The following is a 22,773-nucleotide window of genomic DNA, read 5'->3' as shown; positions in this document are numbered from 1 at the left end:
GTCCAGCCAGGCACCATACCAAGGAGATAGGACACTAGCAAACCCACACTCCACCCTTGCAGTGTTGGTTTAGATTTTGTTGGGCACATTTAACCTGAGTGTGATTATAGGTGTATCTGGAGATCACCGATTGGTACCATAAAACAGGCAATTCCTCCATTTAAAAAAACAAAAGTCTCTCCTTGCCTTTGCTTAGAATCTCATGCTTATCAAGCAACCTTTGGAAATGACCTGGCATCTCCTCTAGCTTCCTTGGTCAGCCAAAATAATTATCCAAAGTACTTGGCTGGTGTGATTTTTATGTTTATTTCATGAATTGGCCTCCATCGCCAAGCTTCCTCATTCATTCATTCATTCATTCATTCACTCACTCAGTGTCAAAACCCTATTATGTGTGCAATTTGTTGATGACTCCTTCTTCTCCTCCTCCTAACTGATCTACAAGGAATCACCTCATTGAATCATCTCATTTTTTTTTTTCTTTGGAATGCTCAATGTTCATCTTTAAACTGGAACATATTCTCCTTTCTTCATTAGGATCTTTTTTTAATTTTTATTTTTTAATTTTATTTTTCCATAAGTTACGGGGGTACAGGTGGTAATCATCCCATTTCAAAAGTGTTCTAAGGTAGACACATTTTCAGCACTTTAAAAATGGACATTGAAGTTTAGAGAGTTAGAATCAGAATCTGAATTCAACCTGAATTGAATTCAGGTTAACCCTGGGCAGATCAGACCTACCTGCAACGCTAACAAGGAGTTTCTGAACTTTCAGAACAAAGACTCCCTTTCTGGACCACAGCCGCAGCAAATTTTAGGAAAGCAAATTTCACATGTTTGGAACCCAGAGAGCTGGTCAGTCAGCTTTTTCCAGTCAGTACCTCCTCTTCTGTATCAAGGCATAGCTTTATCCGAGACTGAGATGTGGAGTGAAATCTTACTGGATTTCAATGAGACATAATTCTGAATAGAGTCTTGTTCAACCAGGCTTAATAATTACTGTAATATCTGAAATACTATACTGGAGGGTCATTGGAGGAGGGCAGGTGGAAAAGGGAAGGAGAAGATTAACAATCTAAACATCAATATAAACACTTGACTAGCGCTATGGAACAAAGATATTGTATAAAAAGGTAATAAACGTATTATATATATTCAATAAAGTAAACTCAAAAGACCCTCAGCTTGGAAACACTTGGTCAACCAACTGTTCACTTGATTCACCATATATATTTGAAATATAATTGCATTTTTAAAGTAAGATTTTATAATTTTAGATTGAGTCTTTTAGGCTGATTACCTCCTAGTGGGTAGGAACTGGCATGAGTTTTTTATTGCTGCCTTAAAAATCACCACAAGCTTACCAGGTAAAAACAACACTCATTTATTATCTCACAGGTCAGGAGGATGAAAGTCCAGGCATGACACAGCTGGGTTCTCCACTCAAGGTCTTGTAAAGCTGAAGTCAAGGTTGAAATCAGCCTGGGTTGAAATCTCATCAGAATCTGGGTTCCTCTTCCAAGATCATTGGTTGTTGGGAGAATTCAGTTCCTTGTGGTTGTAAGACTGAGGTGTTCAACTCCTAGAGGCCACCCCTCTCTATTGGCAGTCCAGGACAGAGCGGCTTGCTTTCTTCCTTGAGGCCTACAGTGGGAATCTCAATGATGTCACACTTTTTGAAGGTTTGCCTGATTAGGTCAGGCTTGCCTGGTGTAATCTCCTTTGCTGTCACCTCAAAGCCAGCTAAGTGACCTATGGGATTGACATCCTATTATATTCACAGGTCTTGCCAACACTCAAGGAAAGGGGATTATTCAAGAGTATGAGTCACTGAGGGTGGGGATTTGAGGTCATTTTGGAATTCTGCCTACCACAATTTAATACTGCTTATACCTACTCCTTTCTCTTCATTTTAGCCAGTATTTCTCCAGGTGAAACCTTTAGCACATCACCCTTACATCTCCAGAAGTGCTTCCTGATGGGTGTTCCAAGACTTCCCTCTCCACACGAGCTAGCACACGGCTACTAGGTTCATTTTCCCTGCTCAGACATCTCCAGTAAATCTCCAGTCACTCAACGAATAAAGTCAAAACCTTTCTCAGGACAGGTTCATCACTTCACTCCACCCTCCCTGCCAAATTTATTTTCTCTGCTTCCCAATTAACAATCTTTACGGGACATATAGGTTTTAAATTAATTTTGGACAATGAGATCTTTAACAGGTGTAAACCCACACTCCACCTCTCAGTGTTGGCTTAGATTTTGCACTTAATTCATGGTGTAGCTGATGTTCAGGAGGGAGGGGTTGCCAGAATCAATTCAAATAATACTTAGGTGATGGCGCAGGTTACCTGCTTCCATGAATATCCAAGCTTCCTTGGATATGCTAAATAACCTCACAACAGGAAAAACAAACAAACGGACTCACATCTTAAGTCATATAAAAGGAGCCAAGCTCATTAGCAATTTTGAGAATCTGGCTTCATTAGCAGGTGCTCAGAGAGCCCAGGTAGCTATTAGTGATATTCCTGCCACGAAAGGGTGTGCCCAGGACTCCCAGAGGCAGTTTAACTTCCCCAGCCTACTTCAAAATGAGATTTACTCAGTTACAAATTGTACATGCTAAATGAGCAAAACTATTAAACAAGGAGGGCTGCTGGGCTAAATAGCTGAGCATTTAACGGTGCACCATGGCATTACCATTTTTATGGTCTATTAAGGCAATTGGAAGAATACCAGCTGAATGAAGAATCAGGTAATTTGCATATGTGTTTTATAAATTACCACATGCTTGCATAAAAAGTAGAGTCCCCTTCTCATCTAATAAAATGTGAGACAGAGACACTTGAAAGAAGTCAGTCTGTATCAGACAGAGTACTTTCGCTGATGACCATGAGCACAGAATTTCCTTCTCTTCCCTTTCCAAATTGATGCTTTGGAGAATTAAAATATACTGGGTCCTGGCCTTCCGTGAGTTTCCCCCTCTGATCTATTTTCAGTCATGGTGGGGAAGGCAGAGAGCTATTATTAAGAATCAGAAGAACAATTTTCTAAGTTGCTGCCTTGACTTTTGCAATTTAAAATTGAAGCAAGGCAGCTCCTCAGTCACTCCATCTCCTGCTAGCCCTAATGAAGCTTGCAGCATCAGCTTCAGCTTCGGCTGATGCTCCCCCTGGATTGAAAAATTCAGGGAAAGAAAAGACATGTAACTCTGTTTAGCCAGAAGCTGTGCATTTCTGGGAGTTTAAAAGAAAAGTAAAGGGAGAAGTTAATTAAACAACTCCTCCCATTAACATTAAAGTCGTTTAGAAACACCTGTCTTTGTTAGCTGTACTAGAAGTGAAATCCCACTCCAGGTAGAACAGCTTTTTACGAATGGTTGCTTCATCACAACAGGGGATATGTAAAAGATATCACATGCCGAGTCACAATGCTGAATCCCAGAGTCCCCAAGAAACCATACTTTGCATGGTGGCTTCAGGGAGTTAGCATAGAGGGGGTAAATGGAATTGGCGGCATCCAAAAAGTCAGTGCTGTATTTCCACTTGGAGAGTTCTACTCTGAGAATGGAGCCATCAGGATTTGTATGAAAATAATGAAGTGAGAGGAGCAACAAGATCCCCAAACAAAAAGAAAGGCAGCCCTACAGAAAAAGAAAAACCACGGTTTCTACAGATTTGCAAATCTGGAAAAAACATTTTTGTGATGCATTTGGTTTAAACAGATGCTAAAAACACAAAAATAATAGATGTCAGCTACAAAAAGACTTTTTCTTTTTCTTGTTTAAGTTCTGCGATACATGTGCAGAATGTGCAGGTTTGTTACATAGGCGTACTTGCGCCATGGTGGTTTGCTGCACCCATCAACCCATCATCTAGGTTTTAAGCCTCTCATGCATTATGTATTTGTCCTAATTATTCCCCCCTCCCCTAGCCGCCCACCCCCTGACAGACCTGGTGTGTGATGTTTCCCTCCCTGTGTCCATGCGTTCTCATTGTTCAACTCCCACTTATGGGTGAGAACATGTGGTGTTTGATTTTCTGTTCCTGTGTTAGTTTGCTGAGAATGACAGTTTCCAGCTTCACCCATGTCCCTGCAAAGGACATGAATTCATCCTTTTTTATGGCTGCATAGTACTCCATGGTGTCTTTGTGCCACATTTTCTTTTTCCAGTCTATCATTGATGTGTATTTGGGTGAGTTACAAGAAAAAGACTCGTTCTTAAAGGTCGGACTCAACTATCTGCTTCTTTTGTTAAAAAAAATTTATTTTTAAAAATTTTTGTGGGTACATAGAAGGTGTATATATTTATGGGGTACATAGATGGTTTGATATAGGCATGCCATGTGAAATAAGCACATCATGGAGAATGGCATATCCATCCCCTCAAGCATTTATCTTTTGAGTTACAAATAATCAAATTACATGCTTTAAGTTTACAATTAAATTATTGACTGTCTGCTTCTTTGTGAAGACTTGCTATATAGAAATATATGGCAAGTCTTCACAAAGAAGCAGATTGTCAATAATACCTTTATTATTTACTAATAAACCTCAATAGCTTTATCTCTATTTTTGTGCCACCATGGAAGGTGCCAACTAAGTCACCAGCTATATCTTGAACATTTTATTACAGTTATTAGTTTACATAGCTGTTCGTCCTGGAGAACAGGGTTGTGTCCTGTGGTTTATGTGAGATCTAACACAATGAGTCCCTTAGTTCTTAGCAGATGTGAATGCTCAGGTTAGGTGACGGTTAAATAAATGCATCATCCCAATATTTAGAGTTATATACTAGCTAATATTTACTAAGCTCATCAAATGCATTAACCAGTATGCTAAAGGATCTACACAGTCTAACTTAATGTCATCTCCATTTATTGGAGAGCTTTGCATATTTACCAGGCTTTACATATCTTATCTCATATAACTTTTTTCTTCTGAGAACATTTTGAGATAGCTATCATTATCTTCAGCCTGCAGATACGGAAACTGAAGCTTAGTGAGACCATGGTGGGTGCTTGAGAAAGGTAGTTGGAAATTGTAAAGTCAGACTTCAGACCTACTTATGTTGGACTATAAGTTTCATGTGATGGAACAGCTGAATTAATCAATGAATCAGTAAGGGACTACATCCTTGGCATAAGACCACCTGTGTGCAAATTCCAGTTCATTCCTATGTAGCTGTGTGTTCTCACTTAACCTCTCAAGCCTCAGTCTACCTGTCTGCAAAAAGACGACAGTATGTATGTCACGGGGTAGTAATGAGAAATAATGACAATGCGCATAATAAAAACACAGCTCAACAAAGAACTCAGAGGTAAACTACCATTAGAAACCAGCAATCCCATTACTGGGTATCAACTCGAAGAAAAATGGGTCTACCAAATGGAACATGCACTCGTATGTTCATCACAGTGCTATTCATAATAGCGATGACATGGAATCAACCCAGGTGTCCATCAACGGTGGACTAGATTAAAAAAAAAAGGGATATATATATACACCATGGAATACTACGAAGACATAAAAAGAATGAAATCATGCCCTTTGCAGCAACATGGATGCAGCTGGATGCCATTATTCTAAGTGAATTAACTCAGAAACAGAAAACCAAATACTGCATGTTCTCACTTACAAGTGGGAACTAAACACTGGATACACATAAATATAAATATGGGAACAATAGACGCTGGAGATTACTAGACAGGGGAGAGAAGAAGGGAGGCAAGAGCTGAAAAGCTATCTATTAATACTATGCTCACTACGTGGGTGACAGGATCATTCATACCCAAAACCTCAGTGTCATACAATATACCCATGTAACAAATCTGCACATGTACCCCCTGAGTCTAAAGTAAAAGTTGGAAAAAAAGAAAAAAAGCAAAAAACTCAGCTTAACATTTGGCCCATAGGCATGGCTCCGCAACTGTTGGCTCTCATCCTTATACGTTCTACCATGATTGACAACATTCATTATTTTTCTATATTGTTCTCTCATTACATCATTACATGATTAGTTATTACTTCAGAGTTGTGTGTGTGTGTCTGTGTCTTTTTAACAACTTTATTGGAGTTTAATTTACATGCCATAAAATTCACCTGTTCTAAGTATACAGTTTGGTGAACTTTAGCTTGCATATACTACTGTGCAACCATAACCAAAATCCAGTGTTAGAACATTCCCAACACTCCAAATAGTTCCCTGATGCCTATTTGCAGTCAACCCCTGCAGCTATCCCCAGCCCCAATCATTGACCTGCTTTCTGTCTTTATAGTCTTGCCTTTTCTAGAAATTTCTACATTGATGGTATATATATATATATATATATATATATATATATATATATATACACCATGGAATACTACTCAGCCATAAAAAAGAACAAAATAATGTCTTCTGCAGCAACTTGGATGAAGCTGGAGGCCATTATTTTAAGTGAAGGAACTCGAAAATGGAAAACCAAATATCATTTGTTATCACTTATAAGTGGGATTTAAGCTATGAGAATGCAAAGTCATAAGAATGACATAATGGACTTTGGGAGTACCCCAGGGGGAAGGTTGGAAAGGGATGAGGCATAAAAGACTACATATTGGGTATAGTATAAACTGCTTGGGTGACAGGTGCACAAAAATATCAGAAATCACCACTAAAGAACCGATTCATGGAACCAAAAACCACCTGTACCCTAAAAATTATTAAAATAAAATTAAAAAGTAAAACAAACATTTTTTCCAGAAAAAAATTCTACATTGGTTTTTTTCAACGTGGAAAAATTCTACATTGGTTTTTTTCCTCAAACTCTGCTCGATCTATATTAAATATCTGAGTTGTTCATTAAACATGCAAATTCCCAGGCTCTACCATAGACTTAATTGCCATCAAGTTAAGGCCAGGAAATTTTCATGATTAACAAGAGTCACGAGAGACTTATTCAGATAGTAAACTGTGAGCATCCTCACCTACAAATTTCAGGATTGCAAGATTGCCCCTGGCTATATTGAATGGGATCATAGCTAACAGAGCCCATGTGGCTGAGTAGGAGGATGGAAGGGGAGGAATGTTCCCCCTGGAGTGATAATCTGGGTGATCATTCTGTCCATTGCTCTTCAAAAACAATTCCCTCAGAGGGTCCTTTAAATTTGATGGGAGGCAACATGGCAGCCCCTTCCCTAGAAGAAGCCCCCATGGGACCCCAAGGACAGAACTTCCTTGGCTTTTATTAATTCTTTATCCATGGGGAGGAAACAACTATGCCACACACAAAGCTGATTGTTCCTTTGGCTGTCCCTAGAGACTAGAGCCTCAACTTGCAGCTGCTCCTGAAAGATTTGCAAATCATCCTCTTAGATCACTGTCTGTGGAGCCTGCTGAGGCTGCAGGATGTCTTCAGTGAATAAAGTGACACTCCCAGACTCTGAGGTAGAGCCCAGGGTATCCTTAGGGACAGTGTCCTGTGTCAGGGAGGCCTTCTGTCATCATGCTCAAATCATGACTGGGACTCCCTGAGGACATGGTGATTTCTCCAGCCATGAACTACCCACATTTTAAGGAGTCTGAGAGTGCAGAGGGCCTGGATCAAGTTTCTTTTAGGTTGAGGTTGCAAACTCAAATGCCTACAGAGGCCAGGCATGTAAAGAAGTGCAGCCGGAAGGAAGAGGGCTACAGCAATTTGCAGAGTGCCTGTGTTATCTAAAAAGGACTACCACTATCTATTCATTGTCAATGGTAGCCAGGAAGATAGCAAGACCCATGTTGCCAGAGCGCTGATATCTTAAGACATGCTGAATCCAGATTTGCATGTGAAAGCTCTTTATTTTATAATCGACAATTAATCTTTTACAAAGAAAAACCAGTATAGGACATGCAAAACATCTGTGGGCCATTCAGTGTATCACACAGGAGCTAAGCAGTCTTCCTGGCTGTTTCCACATTTCCCATGTGGCTAAGATGATGTTCCAACGGGAAGGCATGGGGGGTGGCATCATACTGACCTACCTTTGAGTCCCAGCTTACCTTTACCTTTCTAATCACAAACTCATTTTTGCCATTAACAGCATCGAGGCATAACGGATATACAAAAATAAAAAATAAAAAAAAAACCTGCACAACTTTAAAGTATAAAATTTGATTAACTTGGACATAGGCCCATGAAATCATCATTGCAATAAAAATAACACACATATCCATCACCTCCAAAAGTTGCCTTGTACTCCCTCACCGTCTTTTTTTGTTCTAAGAACACTTAACAAGAGGTCTATATTTTCAAACGTTGTGAAGGCACAATAGAGTAGTGTTAACTATAGGCATTGTGCGATATAACAGATGTCAAGAACTTATTCCTCTTGCATAACTAAAAATTTATACTCATTGAACAGCAGCTTGCTGTTTCTGCCTTCCCCAGACCATGACAACTAACATTCTATTATACTCTCTGTTTCTATAAATTTGACTTTTTTTTTTTTTTTTGAGACAGAGTTTCACTCTTGTTGCCTAGGTTGGAGGGCAATGGCACAATCTCGGCTCACTGCAACCTCCACCTCCCGGGTTCAAGCGATTCTTGTGCCTCAGCCTCCCAAGTAGCTGGGATTACAGGCATGTGCCACCACTCTCAGCTAATATTTTTGTGTTTTCATTAGAGAGGGGGTTTCACCATGTTGGTCAGGCTGGTCTCAAACTCCTGACCTCAGGTGATCCACCTGCCTTGGCCTCCCAAAGTGCTGGAATTACAGGCGTGAGCCAATGCGCCCAGCAGAATTTGACTATTTTAGATGCCTCAAATAAGTGGAATCTTGCAGTATTTGTCTTTCTGTGACTGGTTTATTACACTTAGCAATAATGTCTCTCAGATTCATCCATGTTGTTGCATATGGTAGGATCTCCTTTTTTAAGGCTAAATAGATTTCATTGTATAGATATAGCATATTTTATTTATTCATCTATTCATGGACATTTACGTTGTTTCTGTATCTTGGCTATTGTGGCTAATGTTGCAATAAAGATGGGAGTGCAGTTAATGCTTCAAGATGCTGATTTCAATTCTTCTGGATATATTTTCAGGAATGGAATTGCTCAATTATATGGTAGTCCCATTTTTAAGTCATTTTGGGGAACCTCTATACTATATTCCATAATGGCTGTACCATTCTGCATTCCCACCAACCAGGTACAAGGGTTCTACTTTTTCTATATGCATCAGTACACTCATCTGAAAGACAGGAAAGTAACATGTACTTATCACTGGTTCTTGTGAAAATTAAATCAAGCAAGGCATGCCTGATGCATAGTAGCTGCTCAGTAGACCTAGCTCTCTCTCCCTACTGATTTCATTTATTCAACAAACATTCTTGAGTATCTATGATCAGCCAGGAATGGAGCTAAGTGATGAAAAAGATGTTTAACCTATTGTATGTTTTATAGACATCCAGGGAGGAAAAGATAGAATGTCAAGCAAATAATACCATTATTATGTATCACCTGATGGGGACTTTTATTTTAAAACAGTGGATTACAACTTCTAGATAGAAACTTCCTCTTCTAAAATACCATGAAAATGTAAAATGTCATCAAGTGTTCACTTCAAGCATTCACACAAGGTAAAATCACAACCCAGTGCTATCAATGCTATAAAAAGAGGTTTCCTGGATTAGAGCATCCTGGTGTGGCCAGACTCTTACCCTCACCAAGACCTCCTAGAAGCTGTCTGGTGGACAGTTCCCACTGAAAATTCTCAACATTTGAGAAGGAGCGAACTAAGTGGGCATCCTTAACTGGTCTCTATTTTAATGAAAAAAAGGTAGTAAGAGTTTCTGGGAATAAATGAGTGAAACAAAAGAATTAAAAAAAAGAATATGCCTAATATGCCTATTTATGAGGGAAAGAACTGAAAGATGAGCATATATCTCAGTGGAAAGCATTCATCTCAAAGCTGAACCATGAAGGATAGATCCCAGGACATTTAACAAAATCTGAGAGTCTGTACAGAGCATCTAACAAAGAAAGCACTTTCCTTCAGGAAAACTATTTCCCTTAGTCCACAACTTGAGGCAGCAAGAAAAAGAAGACATAATACTGAATACACAGCTCTCAAACTGTGGTTTAGTGTGCAGCCTCCTTTGTGATTAGAATGGAGTCAATAAATCCCCTGTGCTTTGAGAGCAAAAAGAAGACCTGTGTAGACAGATCTGTCTAAGCATAAGGGAGATGATGGTAAAATTGCAAAGTAAAGCTAGGAGGAGAGGAATAAGAGAACACACCAATCAATCAATGAATGCAAAACACAGGAAAAAATGAGCCCAACCTGGAAGGATACCTAACAGAACAACAAACAAAGAATTACAGAAATGGTTAAGCAATAGTACTAGAACCATTTTTAAATGTATAATAATAACTCAAAGGTAAGATAAAATGACAAATACCAATATAAATGAGAAAGCACATATGCAAGGGAAAAAATGAGGAAGAGTAAGAAACTGAAATGATACTGCTGAAAGACAAGTATCTTATCTAAACCAAAGGCTTGTTATAATCTTGGTGGATACAGATAAAACTTCCAAATATTCAAGCAGTCAGAGAGAAGATATTATTTTGAAAATCACAATAGACAAATAACAATGGTTTAAAATAAAGAAAGTGAATCTATTCTAGGAAAAAAATAGTCAACAAGTGGAACAGGAAAAATAAAAGTCTTTGAAGATATAACACAAGAAAAATTTTCTGAAATGGTAAAAAAGCAAAATACCACTGAATCTGTATAATTAAGAAACACACCATTTTCCAAGAAAACGTGATATCAAATGATCTATATGAGGCATATTTTTTCTCCAAGTCTATTAGGAGACGTATAAAATCATTTGTAAAGAGTAAAATTCTGTTTGGTCTTACATTTCTCCAAAATTATATTTAATGCTAGAATAAAATGGAGCAATATGCATACAAATGTGATTCAGAAATATTTCCAGCCAAAGGAATTAGCTTGTTCTAAAGGCAACACATAGAAAGCCTCCATACAGAATTGAGGGAATAGATATTAAAAAAAAAAAAAAACTCTCATTGCTTAAATCATTGTTCGTGGGCATCACTGGGAATTAAGGAAGATTACCAGGCCCTATTGCAAACCTAGGGAATCAGAATTTGCATTTTAACAAGATCTCTGGATGGATCACTTGCATGTGGTTGACAGTACTTAGAAGAGGAGTTAAAAAAAGGAATTCAGAAAGGAAGAAACTGTGGTCAAAAGACTATGAATATTTTCTGTATTTATACACAGTACTGATATTTGGCAATTGTGAAAATCACAGTTATAAAACAAAATGTAAAGGTCATAATACTTGGTAATATAAAAATTAATAATAACATAACTAAAAAATGTGGAAGTTGTAGTGAAGTGAGGCTGGGATACATTAGTGTTTAAGAACTTCATCTTTTATAGCAGAGTCAAATAATATCATAATAAAACCAAAAGTAGTTTAAAACAATGATGATTCTGATTTCTTAATGTTTTTGTAACATCGCTTCTTAACATTAGAGAAATCTTTTAGGACATTATATCTTCTGCAATGAAAAAGTATTTATTTGAATCTCAACTATACTGTCAAATTCACTTGAGATTTTCTATTTTTGAGTACTATGACATGTGATTCTTTAATAAAACAATGGCATGCTAGATTAAAGAATTTATTCTTAAATCTGTGTTTATGCACAGAATGATATTAACCGTGATATTCACCTAATATTAATGATGGTTCTTTAGGATGATAACGTATGGGATGATTTGCAGATGTCTTTCTTTGTATATTTTTGCTTAGTACTTGTGTAATGTACTTCTTTTGTGCATGTATTTCTTTTATAAAAACAATAGGCTGTAAGTAATCCTAAGAGAGAGCAAAGGCACAGGTCCTATTTCCACTATAGTAGAAAAGAGGGCAGACTTCTTGGTTCAAAGTTCTCGCCTCTGCAACTTCCAGATAATCAAGTTTAGTTCCATCCATTGGTATTGTCAGACACATGTGAACCAGAGCAACTCCATCTTGAATAAGAGCTGGGTAAAATAAGGCTGAGACCTACTGGGCTGCATTCCCACATGGTTAAGGCATTCTAAGTCACAGGATGAGATAGGAGGTCAGTACAAGATACAGGTCATAAAGATCTTGTGAACAAAACAGCTTGCAGTGAAGAAATTGGCCAAAACCCACCAAAACCAAGATGGCAACAAGACTGAACTATGGTCATCCTCACTGCTACACTCCCACCCATGCCATGACGGTTTACAAATGCCATAGCAACATCAGGAAGTTACCTTATATGGTCTAAAAAGAGGAAGCATGAATAATCCACCCATTGTTTAGCATATCAAGAAATAACCATAAAAAGGGGCAACCAGGAGCTCTCGGGCTACTCTGTCTATAGAATAGCCATTCTTTCGTTCCTTTACTTCCTTAATAAACTTGTTTTTCTTTGCACTATGGACTCACCCTGAATTGTTTCTTGCTTGAGATCCAAGAACCCTCTCTTGGGGTCTGAATCTGGACCCCCTTCCTACAAAAGTATCCAGTTTTCCAACATCTCACTAAACTGCAACATTCAAGAGAGTAGGAAGCAAACAGGTCTTCACTATCAATGCATCTTCCTCATGTTTAATATACCAGGTGGCACAGAGTACTCAATACATATTTGTTAGATGAGTGACTTTTCTCCATGGAGGCTTCAAGATAAACTAAGACTCCTTTTACACATTTGACTATGGTTGGGATGGCTGACTTGAATTTTAAGTAACTAAAAGACTGAAAAATCTGGTGACCTTTTCTCAGCGAGAATCGGGATGTGGCTAATTGAGACTCTAGGTGCTCAGCAGTTGTAAATCTGATCCTTAAGTTTGTATGAACATGAGTTTTTCATGTTTGAATGTGGCTTAATTAAGCAAAATGTCTTATGTGAGGATTCAAATCCCTGTGTAGATTAAATGAGTCTATTTAGGATCCACTAAGACTTTGAAAGTTTTTCTCCTACTGTAGCACATTGCAATACATCTCCGTACAACAGGAGAATAAAAGAAAAGTTCAGAAAGAGAGAGAGAATCATTGCATGTTGGAGCTGTGTGGGACCTTGGGGACCATCAAGAACAACCTCTCATGCTACCCACGATATTGACTCATTGTCAAAGAAAAATAGGCCATGCCAATGAAAGAGGCTATCTCCTCCCTGTCTTGAAATAGACTCCATGGGTCGTATTGTGGCGTAGTGGAAGAATGTGGATGGAAGCTGCAAAATGGCTCAGTCCAGGTTCTAACTTTGCCTAGCAACACATTGAGTGAACCTGGCCAATTCAATTTCAGTCTCTTGGACTATCAGTTTCCACTCCTTTGAAAATTAAAGAATCATGGTAGTTGGATACTCATCAAACTTCATTATTTGAGCCATAGCATACTGATATAACAATAACAACATCATTCATTTGCTTGGAAACTGAACAAATACAAAGAGTTGAGATATTTAGGTTGGATCCAAGACAGGGACACTAATCCCTGAAAACTTGCCCCGACCATTTTCAGTCGCGATTTCATAGAGCATTAAGATTGACTTCCAGAAAAAAATAAAATAAAATTTAAATACTTGTTATAACAAAAGGAACAAAAACCAGAGGGTCATAACTAAGGGTGTAATTTCTATTTGTCATTAATAAATAATGAAACTTTGATACACTACAAAATTTGTTTGTTACAGGTAGGGAAAGGCCATCACCAATCAGACGATTCTCCAGCCACTGGAGGGAAAAGGAGGCCTCTTTATTTTTAGTAAAATTGATAATGTTGGTCAAAGAAGAATAACACTAGGTATGAGGTGCCTGTACACTCCAAAGGGAGAAAGCTGAGATGCCACCAGTTATGAGGCAGAGATGGTGAGATTCTCATAAGAAGGATAACATAGGGCCTACGGCCTTGAGTCTGGAGTTCAACAACACTGTGTTTTATATGCAGGATCCTGGAAAATTTTGTTTAAATTCTTTATTCCTAATTTTACATAACTCTAACAATTAGGACCCCCACTACTGAGCCTTTCCTCCTATTTCCCCTAAATAAGCACTTTAACTATATTTTGCTTTTCTTACAATAGCTATAGAAAAACAATATGGAGAAAAAAAATGAACATGTGGAAACCATAAAGGTAACTAGACATTTTAGAAGGTTCTTACAGTTCTAGTTCTTGTTCTAAAATTCCTGACACCCTTTGAGTAGGCAAATGAAAAAAAAATGTGTTGAAGAACATGAGTTTGAGTTTTGGAGACACACAGTCCAACTAGGTCACATGACCTTGGTTAAATCAGACCATTAATTTAACACACCTTGCTATTGAAAATGGGATGAAATTTCATGAAGACTGAATGAATAAATAAATAAGCACAAGTTTGGGTGATGCATGAATAGGGCATGAGAGGTCCCTTGTGGTGTGCAAATTAATTTGGCAAACACTGGCTTTGCAGCTTTGGATGAATAAACCTAGGTTTGAATATCAGTGAGTTAACTTAGCTGTGGTATCTCCGTCGAATGATATAACCCCTGTCTGTCTCTTTCATTCTAGATACAAGATGAATAATGAAATCTACTTGGTTTCAATGAGGTAATAACACATGTAAATCACCTGGCAGAGAGAGATCGTAATAATAATACTCAGTAAATGGGAACAAGTGTTTTGTTTTGTTTTTACTGGGTTAATGCATATATTTCCCCCCCTTGACTTTAAGCAGTTTGAAAGCATGGATATCGCCTGTTTCTTTTTTTAAAATGACTCCATCAGTAGGTACTCAATATGTATTTGTTGGATTAATTAATTATTATAGAAGGATATGAATGTCCTCCCTAGAATGCACCAGACAATAAATTCTCCTGCTATGAAATCGTAGTATTATTTTTCCCTAATGGTTGTTGTGATGCCATCGTTAACCTCTTAAGGAAAAGCCACCCGAGAGCTATTTTAATGTTTTGAGTTATACTTCCTAGATTGTGACAAAATATTCTAGCTGGTAACTACAGATGGTGCCTCTTTCACCGTAAAGGTGTCTCATCTGTTTTTCTTGCTACTTCTCAGGCTATTTGCCACAATTAAGTACAGCAGCAGAAATTCCCACAGGCTGGTTTATGTTGTGTTTAAAAAGTTAATTAAATTGCCAAGTTGTTAAGTTGTTAAATTTAAAGTTAAAAAAATCTATTAGCAAGTTTGCTCCTGATTAAAGTCATGAGACCCATGTGTTTGATTTTCAACTTGGTCCTTTCCAGCAATAAACATTAAAAATAAAACAATTTCATTTTATGACCAAGCCCTCTACAATGCCTTGTGTGTGATGCATTAGGGAGGAAAAAAAAGCAGCTAAATTACAATTCATCTGCACACAAAACTTCCAAAGAGCATATTTCTCTTGGCAGGGCAAAATGGGTAAGTAGTGAGTTAAAAACCAAGCATCTGTCCAAAGTTAATATATGTCATTTTATATTTTATACTCTGTTCTCATGAGATAATGGCAAAGAAGATGTCCTTTGTCTTCTTCAGATGCTAGATTATTTATCTAATAGGGCATTGGAGTTGGGAGATATTTTGGCCAGTAATGACTAGGAGACAGACAGGTCTGGCTTTGATTTTTGGCTAGCAAACAGGCTGGTAAACTATCCTGGGTTTCCAATTCCCCACTGGTTCACTGAAGGTATGATAATAAATACCTCCAAAATTGTGGAGAGAATTAATAAGACAATGGTACATGGCAACTATTATTTTTAAAAATTGCCCTATTCATGGAAAACTGTATAGGGTATAGAATCAAGTCTAGCCTCTGGGGTCAAAGAGCCTAAGTTTAAATGCCAACTGAATCAGCGTGTAATGTTGGAAAAATTACTCAGCTTTTCTGCATGAGTTTTGAGTCTGTGAGGTGAGTATAATGATGGTATGAAATGCATAAGGTTAATATAAAGATTAAGTGAATAAAATAAAACATTTCTAAAATAGTGCTTGGCACAAAGTAGGTTGATTAATAAATATTAGCTGTTATATTATCATAGGTTGATTAAGGAATATTAGCTGTTATCATCATAGCTGTTATCAATATATTCTGATCTGTGTGCATATATTTCATTTCTCTATCTATCATCTATCTATATAGGAGATAATTTAAAGGAAAAAATGTGCTAATAAATTCGGATCTTAAGAGATGCTTTAATAGAACCGGTGTTAGAATAATCAAAACCACAAGTTGGAAGAGGTCTTAGAAAACAGCAATTCTATACTAACTGCTGAATGAATCTTCCCTGCCATCCTCTGACAGGTTGTCACTGGAAATGTGACGTGGAACTCTCTACCTTCTGACAGCCTGTACTAGTGCTGGACAGCTCTAATTTTTGGCAATCTCATTCTTCTATTGATCTGAAGTCTGTCTCCCTTCTATATCAGGGTTACACAGAAGACATCTGCTCAGTCTTCTACATAATAGCTCTTCAGAGACTTGAAGGGAATTGTCATGAGTCCTGAGACATCTCTTCTCCAAGATAAAAAGCCCTCATCTTCAGTGAACACACGCTCAAGATTCATTTCAAATGCCACCACCTCTTGAAAGCCTCCCTTGCTCTCTCTGGAAAGAGCTAAGCATACCTTCTTCAGAGCTCTTCTGCTGTCTCAGCCAGCCCTTCCTTGCATCTTTTATCCCAATACACTGTCATTACATGTTTATATTCATTTGCTTGCCCAACTAGCCTGTTATCTTCAGGGGTCCTGGCAGATTTATCTTTGTTTTCTGTTGGTGCATACTTATGGCTGAAAAAGCAGCTTGGGGTCCCTCAAAAATATAAACATAGAATTGCCATATAATCTAGTAATTCTACCTCTGGGTATACTCACAAAAGAATTCAAAGAAGGGTCTTGAAGATATATTCGTACACCTGTGTTTATAGCAGTATTATTCATGATAGCCAAAAAGTGGAAGCAAACCAACCTCTGTCCTTTAGAAGATGAACAGATAAACAAAATGTGGCATATGCATACGATAAAATATTATTTGGCTGGGTGTGGTGGCTCACTCCTGTAATCCCAGCACTTTGGGAGGCCAAGGTGGGTGGATCACTGGAGGTCAGGAGTTTGAGACCAGCCTGGCCAACATGGTGAAGCCCTATCACTACTAAAAATACAAAAATTAGCCGGGCATGGTGGCACGTGCCTATATATATATATATATATATATATATATATATATATATATATAAAATACTTGGCAATGGAAATTAGTTCCTCTAAGCCTCAGTTTTTACTTCTTTAAAATGGGCATAGTCTATGTGACCATAGACTTGATTTAAAAATCCATGAGATAGTCAAAAGCTCTTACCAGGATGTACAGTAAAACAATTTGCTTACACATGCTACAAGATGTATGAACCTTGAAGACATTATGCTAAGTGAACTATGCCAGTCACAAAAAGACAAATACTGTATAATCTCACTTATATAAAGTATCTAGCATAGTCAAATTCACAAAGAAAGTAGCATGGTGGTTACCAAGCGCTGGGAGAAGAGAGGAGTGGGGAGTTAGTGTTTAATGGGACAGAGTTTCCGTTTTGCAAGATGTAAAGAGTTCTGGAGATGGATGGTGGTGATGGCTGTACAACAATACAAATGTGCTTAATATCACTAAACTGTACATTGAAAATGATTAAGGTAGTAACTTTTATATGTATTTCACCACAATAAACGTAATAAAAAATAAAATAATTGCTGCTGAATAATTGAATGAATGAGTTTATGTTTTAACTGAAAAAAGTAATACCTGTTCATCTTTGCAGATGCTTTGCTCAGTGGAAGAAGATAATTTGATGAAGGCAAGGCCATTTCTGGTACTCCTAAATCACACCATTTTAAAAGCTACTTATGTGGCATCCACCCAGAACCTGTTTTAGTGAGAACAAAGGTGCCTTCAGCAGTTCTAAGAGGTCTGTCTAAACCCTAGTTTCTTTTGTTCATATTTTCTTTTTGAAAACTAAGCTCTATCGATTGGCCCAACAATACTGCAGGCTTGGAGGGAGATGCAGCCAACTTTACTACTGCAGTTAGTAGGAGACACTTCCAGTGGAATACAACTTTCCAGTGAGACGATGACCCCATCTGTGTACTGTTACATTTATAGGGGATAATCTTCTACAAGAGATCCAGATTTCAATCTCAATTGCCAATAAGTCTGTATGTCCTTAGGTAATCCCTGTCCCTTCTCATCGAATATCAGCTTCACCATCCGGAAACAAAGGAGCAGATTTTGATCATCACAAAGAAAGCAGTAAAACAGGAGTTCTAAGAGCTTAAAAGTTTGGAGTCAGGTAGTGCTGGCTCTAGGACAAACTGCCAACACTTAATGAGATCGTTAAACTTGGCTATGGCAGCTGGGCATGGTGGCTCACGCCTGTAATCCCAGCACTTTGGGAGGCTGAGGGGGAGAAATCACTTAAGGTCAGGAATTTGAGACCAGCCTGGCTAACATGGTGAAACCCCAACTCTATTAAACATACAAAAATTAGATGGGCATGGTGGCAAGCGCCTGTAATCCCAGCTACTCAGGAGGCCGAGGCAGGAGAATCGCTTGATCTGGGGAGGCAGAGATTGCAGGGAGCTGAGATCACGCCACTGCAGTCCAGCCTGGGCAATAGAGTGAGAGTCTGTCTCTAAATAAATAAATAAAATACTTGGCTATGGAAATTAGTTCCTTTAAGCCTCAGTTTTTACTTCTTTAAAATGGGGATAGTAATAGAAATGACCATAGACTTGACTTAAAAATCCATGAGATAGTCAAAACTCTTATCAGGATGTACAGTAAAACAATTTATTTGGGCATCTATTGTAATTATTCCTTTCTGCTCTGATGTTTTTGCTCAGAAGAAGAACAGTTGTTCTACTTGTACTTTCTAGAGATTCAGTAGTAATCACCCAAGCCATGCGTAATTGTCTTGCTAGGTCAGGTGAATGAGATTCAGAGGACTCCTTCATTTATGTGGCCAATGAGGTATCGTTGGGGGTCTTAGGACAGTCAGGCTTCAGGGACCAGGCTGCACAAACAGTCCTTTCTAAAGACATCACAAAACACTCAGCAAACTCCTACAAATTAAAAGTAGCATGTGCAGCTAAATTCAAATTACTGCAAATTACTTTCAAATTTTCAAGTCTGCATCATATTATGTATAACTTGGGAATTACAGATTTTAAAAATGTAAGGGAACATTTTGTTTTCCAACTTGTAATAAAACAACATTCGCTGATAGAGCCCAGGCTCCCTTCAGGTGAGTTTTTCTCTGTACCTTTATGCTGTTATAGCAGGATTTGAGGACACAATGTGTCCATTTAAAACAATAACTTCTTTAATACATCCTGAAGTATGGCTGTCAAGTATCAAGATCATTCATTCTTCTGCACTGCACCTTTCCATAATACTATCTCATGAAACCTTTAGCCTCAGTATTCTTTATAGTGTTAATTTCCTAGGGAAAAGAATTCTCCCTGGGTCTTATTCTGTGAAAACAACCCTCTATTCTCCATTCCACAGAACCCAGGCATGGAACACATTGCCCAAATGTCACTGAGTTTCACTGCATCAGAAGTTACGTAACATAATCCAGTGCAAAGCAGAATGAGGAAATACCAGGTGGCTGTCAGGGGTGGCTATCTCACACTCTGCTGTGCTGGGCTACCTTCCAGGAAGGAAGCATTCACTCCTCATTTTGTGAACAGTCAACTGTGGCAACACGGATCCCTGTAACTGGATTTCATTATGGAAATGTTACTAAAGAGGGCCACAGGCTCCAAAATCCATTAAACTGTTTTCTATTGCTTTACATATTCTTCTGCGATAAAAATAGCCTGATATTTGAATTTAAGAAGCCACTGCCTAAAGGGGAACAGATGGATATTAAGAAGATTATAATAAAGAGGGGGATTATCAAAAAAATAAAATGGGAGTTGGGGAAGGGATCATTCTTAGACTTTAGGCAAGTCAGTATTGGGGGTGACGTGTTTTCCAGAATGTGACACTACCCTCGTTGGAAGTAAAACCTCTCAGCATCTTGGTCACACCGAGGGGATCTGCAGCTGTGTGTTGTTGGGTTTTATTTCACAGCAGTATTTCCCTGACTGCCCAGGGGGTTTGTTTGCAACTTCCCTCTCTGAAAACGCTATTTGTGTTCCAAGGTCCACTTACCACAGCTCTCAACAAAAAGAACCTCTTCTTTCTCCTTCTGTCTGCTTTTCTACTTTGCCTCCTCTCCACAAAAAGCAAAGGGTCTATCACCACATACTGCAATGCACCTGCTATACACGCTTGCATTTCTGCAACCTCAATACTCTAAGGTTTGGGCAACAATCAACCTTAAAATCATGCAATCAACTTTTGTCTTTTTATCCTTCTTAGTAGTTTGGGATAGCTGCTTGGAGGCTCCATCCCACGAGCGTCTGTCTCCTAAACAGCCATCTTTACAGTGATTTTTTACAACACCATACTCAATGCTAATAATTAATTTAACTATGTCTCTCACCATGCTGCCACTCATTCTACTTGTTCCTTAACTGTTCCCATCCAAAGCCTTTAAAATCTTTTATTCTGAACTCCCTGGACACTCTCAACTCCTACATTGTGTTTAGAACATTTAGAAATTCAATTCCATAGTGATATGGTTTGGCTGTGTCTCTGCCCAAATCTCATGTTGAATTATAGTTCCCATAATCTCCACTTGTCATAGGAGGGAATTGGTGGGAGGTAACTGAATCATGGAGTTGGTTTCCCCCATGCGATTCTCATGACTGTAAGTTCTCATGAGATCTGATGGCTTTATAGGCAGGTTCCCCTTTCACTCTGTTCTCATTTTTTTTTTTTTTTTACTCTGTTCTCATTCTGCCATGTGAAGAAGGATGTGTTTGCTTCCCCTTCCACCAAGATTATAAGTTTCCTGAGGCCTCCCCAGCCATGCTGAACTGTGAGTCAATTAAACCTCTTTCTTTTATAAATTACCCAGTCTTGGATATGTCTTTATTAGCAGTGTGAGAACAGACCAATACACATAGTTTCATTAACATTTTCCACATTGTCAAAACAGAGGTATGTGCTCCTGTTTTGCGAATTCTTATCTAAGGACTACTTATCATTACCTGTCATTGTATCATCAATCAATTAGGCAGAATTGTGATATCACAAGATCCACTGCCCACCTCTGTTTGTTGTATAGTTTATCTTTCTGTCTGTAGATATTTATTTTTATTTAATTTTCTTCTGATTCAAGTACCTCCTCAATCAACTTCTTCAAACACCTTTGCCTCTGCACTTGAACAAGAGTTGTATTTTAGTTGGATGTGAAATACTTTATCACCATCCTTTTTACCAAACAGGCTACAAAGTGTGGTAGGTGAAATATCAGAAATCTGCCTAATTCTCTGTCTTGTATTTGTAGTCTGTTATTTTCATCAAAATAGCACAATTTTTTATCTTTAACACTTGGGTATCTCACAAGGATTTACTAGAAATTTGTAAGTCTGTAAGTCTTATCCACAAAGATGTGAGTTATTTTGGTTTAACAATTCATATTCATCTTTAGTGTGGTTAGTTTTTTCTTTTATTTCTGTGATTAATATTTCTCCTCAGTCTCTTACATTTTATACTTTAAGAATTCCAACTGTTAGCACATTAAGACTTTTCCATCTGTCTCCAAATCTCTTAGTTTTATATTGGAGTTTTATAGGTAGCCAGCTAGATAAATATAATAATTATGAGTATAAAGTTGAATGGGTTTCAAATCATGAAGCAGAATATTCCCAACACCAAAAAGCCATCCTCATTTTCCCTCCCAGTCACTCTCATCCCTCTCCCACCACCAGCACAATGGTAACCAATATTTGCATTTTTAACTACATAGATTAATTTTTATCTGATTTTATACTTTAGGTAAATAAAACAATAAGGTGTGTACTATTTTGTCTCTGGCTTCTTTCACTTAGCATTCAGTTTGGGAGATCCATCCACAGTGTTGTGGAATAAAGTTGGTCCTTTTCTCATTACTGTATATTATTCCATTGCATGAATATGCCACAATTCATTTATCCGTTCTACTGTTGAAGGTCATTTGGGTCATTTCTAATTTTTTCCCATTTTCTTCTGGGACTCACTGAAGTAGCTTCAGACTATTATCGTTTGTCTATAACTGTATTTTCTCTGTGGGGATTTAACATTTTTTTTCTCTGAATATCAGCCGTTTTGATTTTTCACTACAGTGTGTCTTGGGAGGGACTTATCTCATCTCTGTTGACTCTACTCACTGCTCAGCCCTTTCCAACATGAACAACAAATGCTACTGGCATTGTCTCTTCTTCCTTATGGGTAGGCACATTACATAATCACCTCATTTACTCCTCACATTATTCCTGCAAGGAAGGAGCCATTTTGCACATCTCACGGGTGAGCAAACTCTGGCTCAAATGGGAAACACGTCTAACCAGTTTGAAAAGAATCCAATCCAGGCACGGTGGCTCACGCCTGTAATCCCAGCACTTTGGGAGGCTGAGTGGGGTGGATCACCTGAGTTCGGGAGTTCAACACCAGCCTGACGAACGTGGAGAAGCCCCGTCTCTACTAAAAATACAAAAAATTAGCCAGAGGTGGTGGCATGAGCCTGTAATCCCAGCTACTCAGGAGGCTGAGGCAGGAGAATCACTTGAACCCGGGAGGCGGAGGTTGCAGTGAGCCGAGATCCCGCCACTGTACTCCAGCCTGG

The 22,773-nt window shown here is 38.3% G+C and overlaps 3 annotated features.

Annotated features, from left to right (window-relative positions):
* Window positions 1,075–2,274: an enhancer, noted in NCBI's record as "P300/CBP strongly-dependent group 1 enhancer chr16:7917473-7918672 (GRCh37/hg19 assembly coordinates)". NCBI's record gives its function as "activates an origin of replication core promoter dependent on BRD2, BRD4, P300/CBP, MED14 and CDK7 cofactors, with strong dependence on P300/CBP, by STARR-seq in HCT116 cells {active_cell/tissue: HCT116}" and the evidence as "EXISTENCE:reporter gene assay evidence [ECO:0000049][PMID:35650434]".
* Window positions 1,075–2,724: a biological region, named in NCBI's record as "P300/CBP strongly-dependent group 1 enhancer GRCh37_chr16:7917473-7918672".
* Window positions 2,102–2,724: an enhancer, noted in NCBI's record as "OCT4-NANOG hESC enhancer chr16:7917023-7917645 (GRCh37/hg19 assembly coordinates)". NCBI's record gives its function as "activates a minimal SCP1, AML or CMV promoter by ChIP-STARR-seq in primed H9 embryonic stem cells {active_cell/tissue: H9 hESC(primed)}" and the evidence as "EXISTENCE:reporter gene assay evidence [ECO:0000049][PMID:30033119]".

Source organism: Homo sapiens, chromosome 16 (assembly GCF_000001405.40).
Source record: "Homo sapiens chromosome 16, GRCh38.p14 Primary Assembly".
NCBI classification, from domain to species: domain Eukaryota; kingdom Metazoa; phylum Chordata; class Mammalia; order Primates; family Hominidae; genus Homo; species Homo sapiens.
Note: the sequence above shows the minus strand (reverse complement) of the source record. Positions and strands in the feature narration are given on the sequence as shown.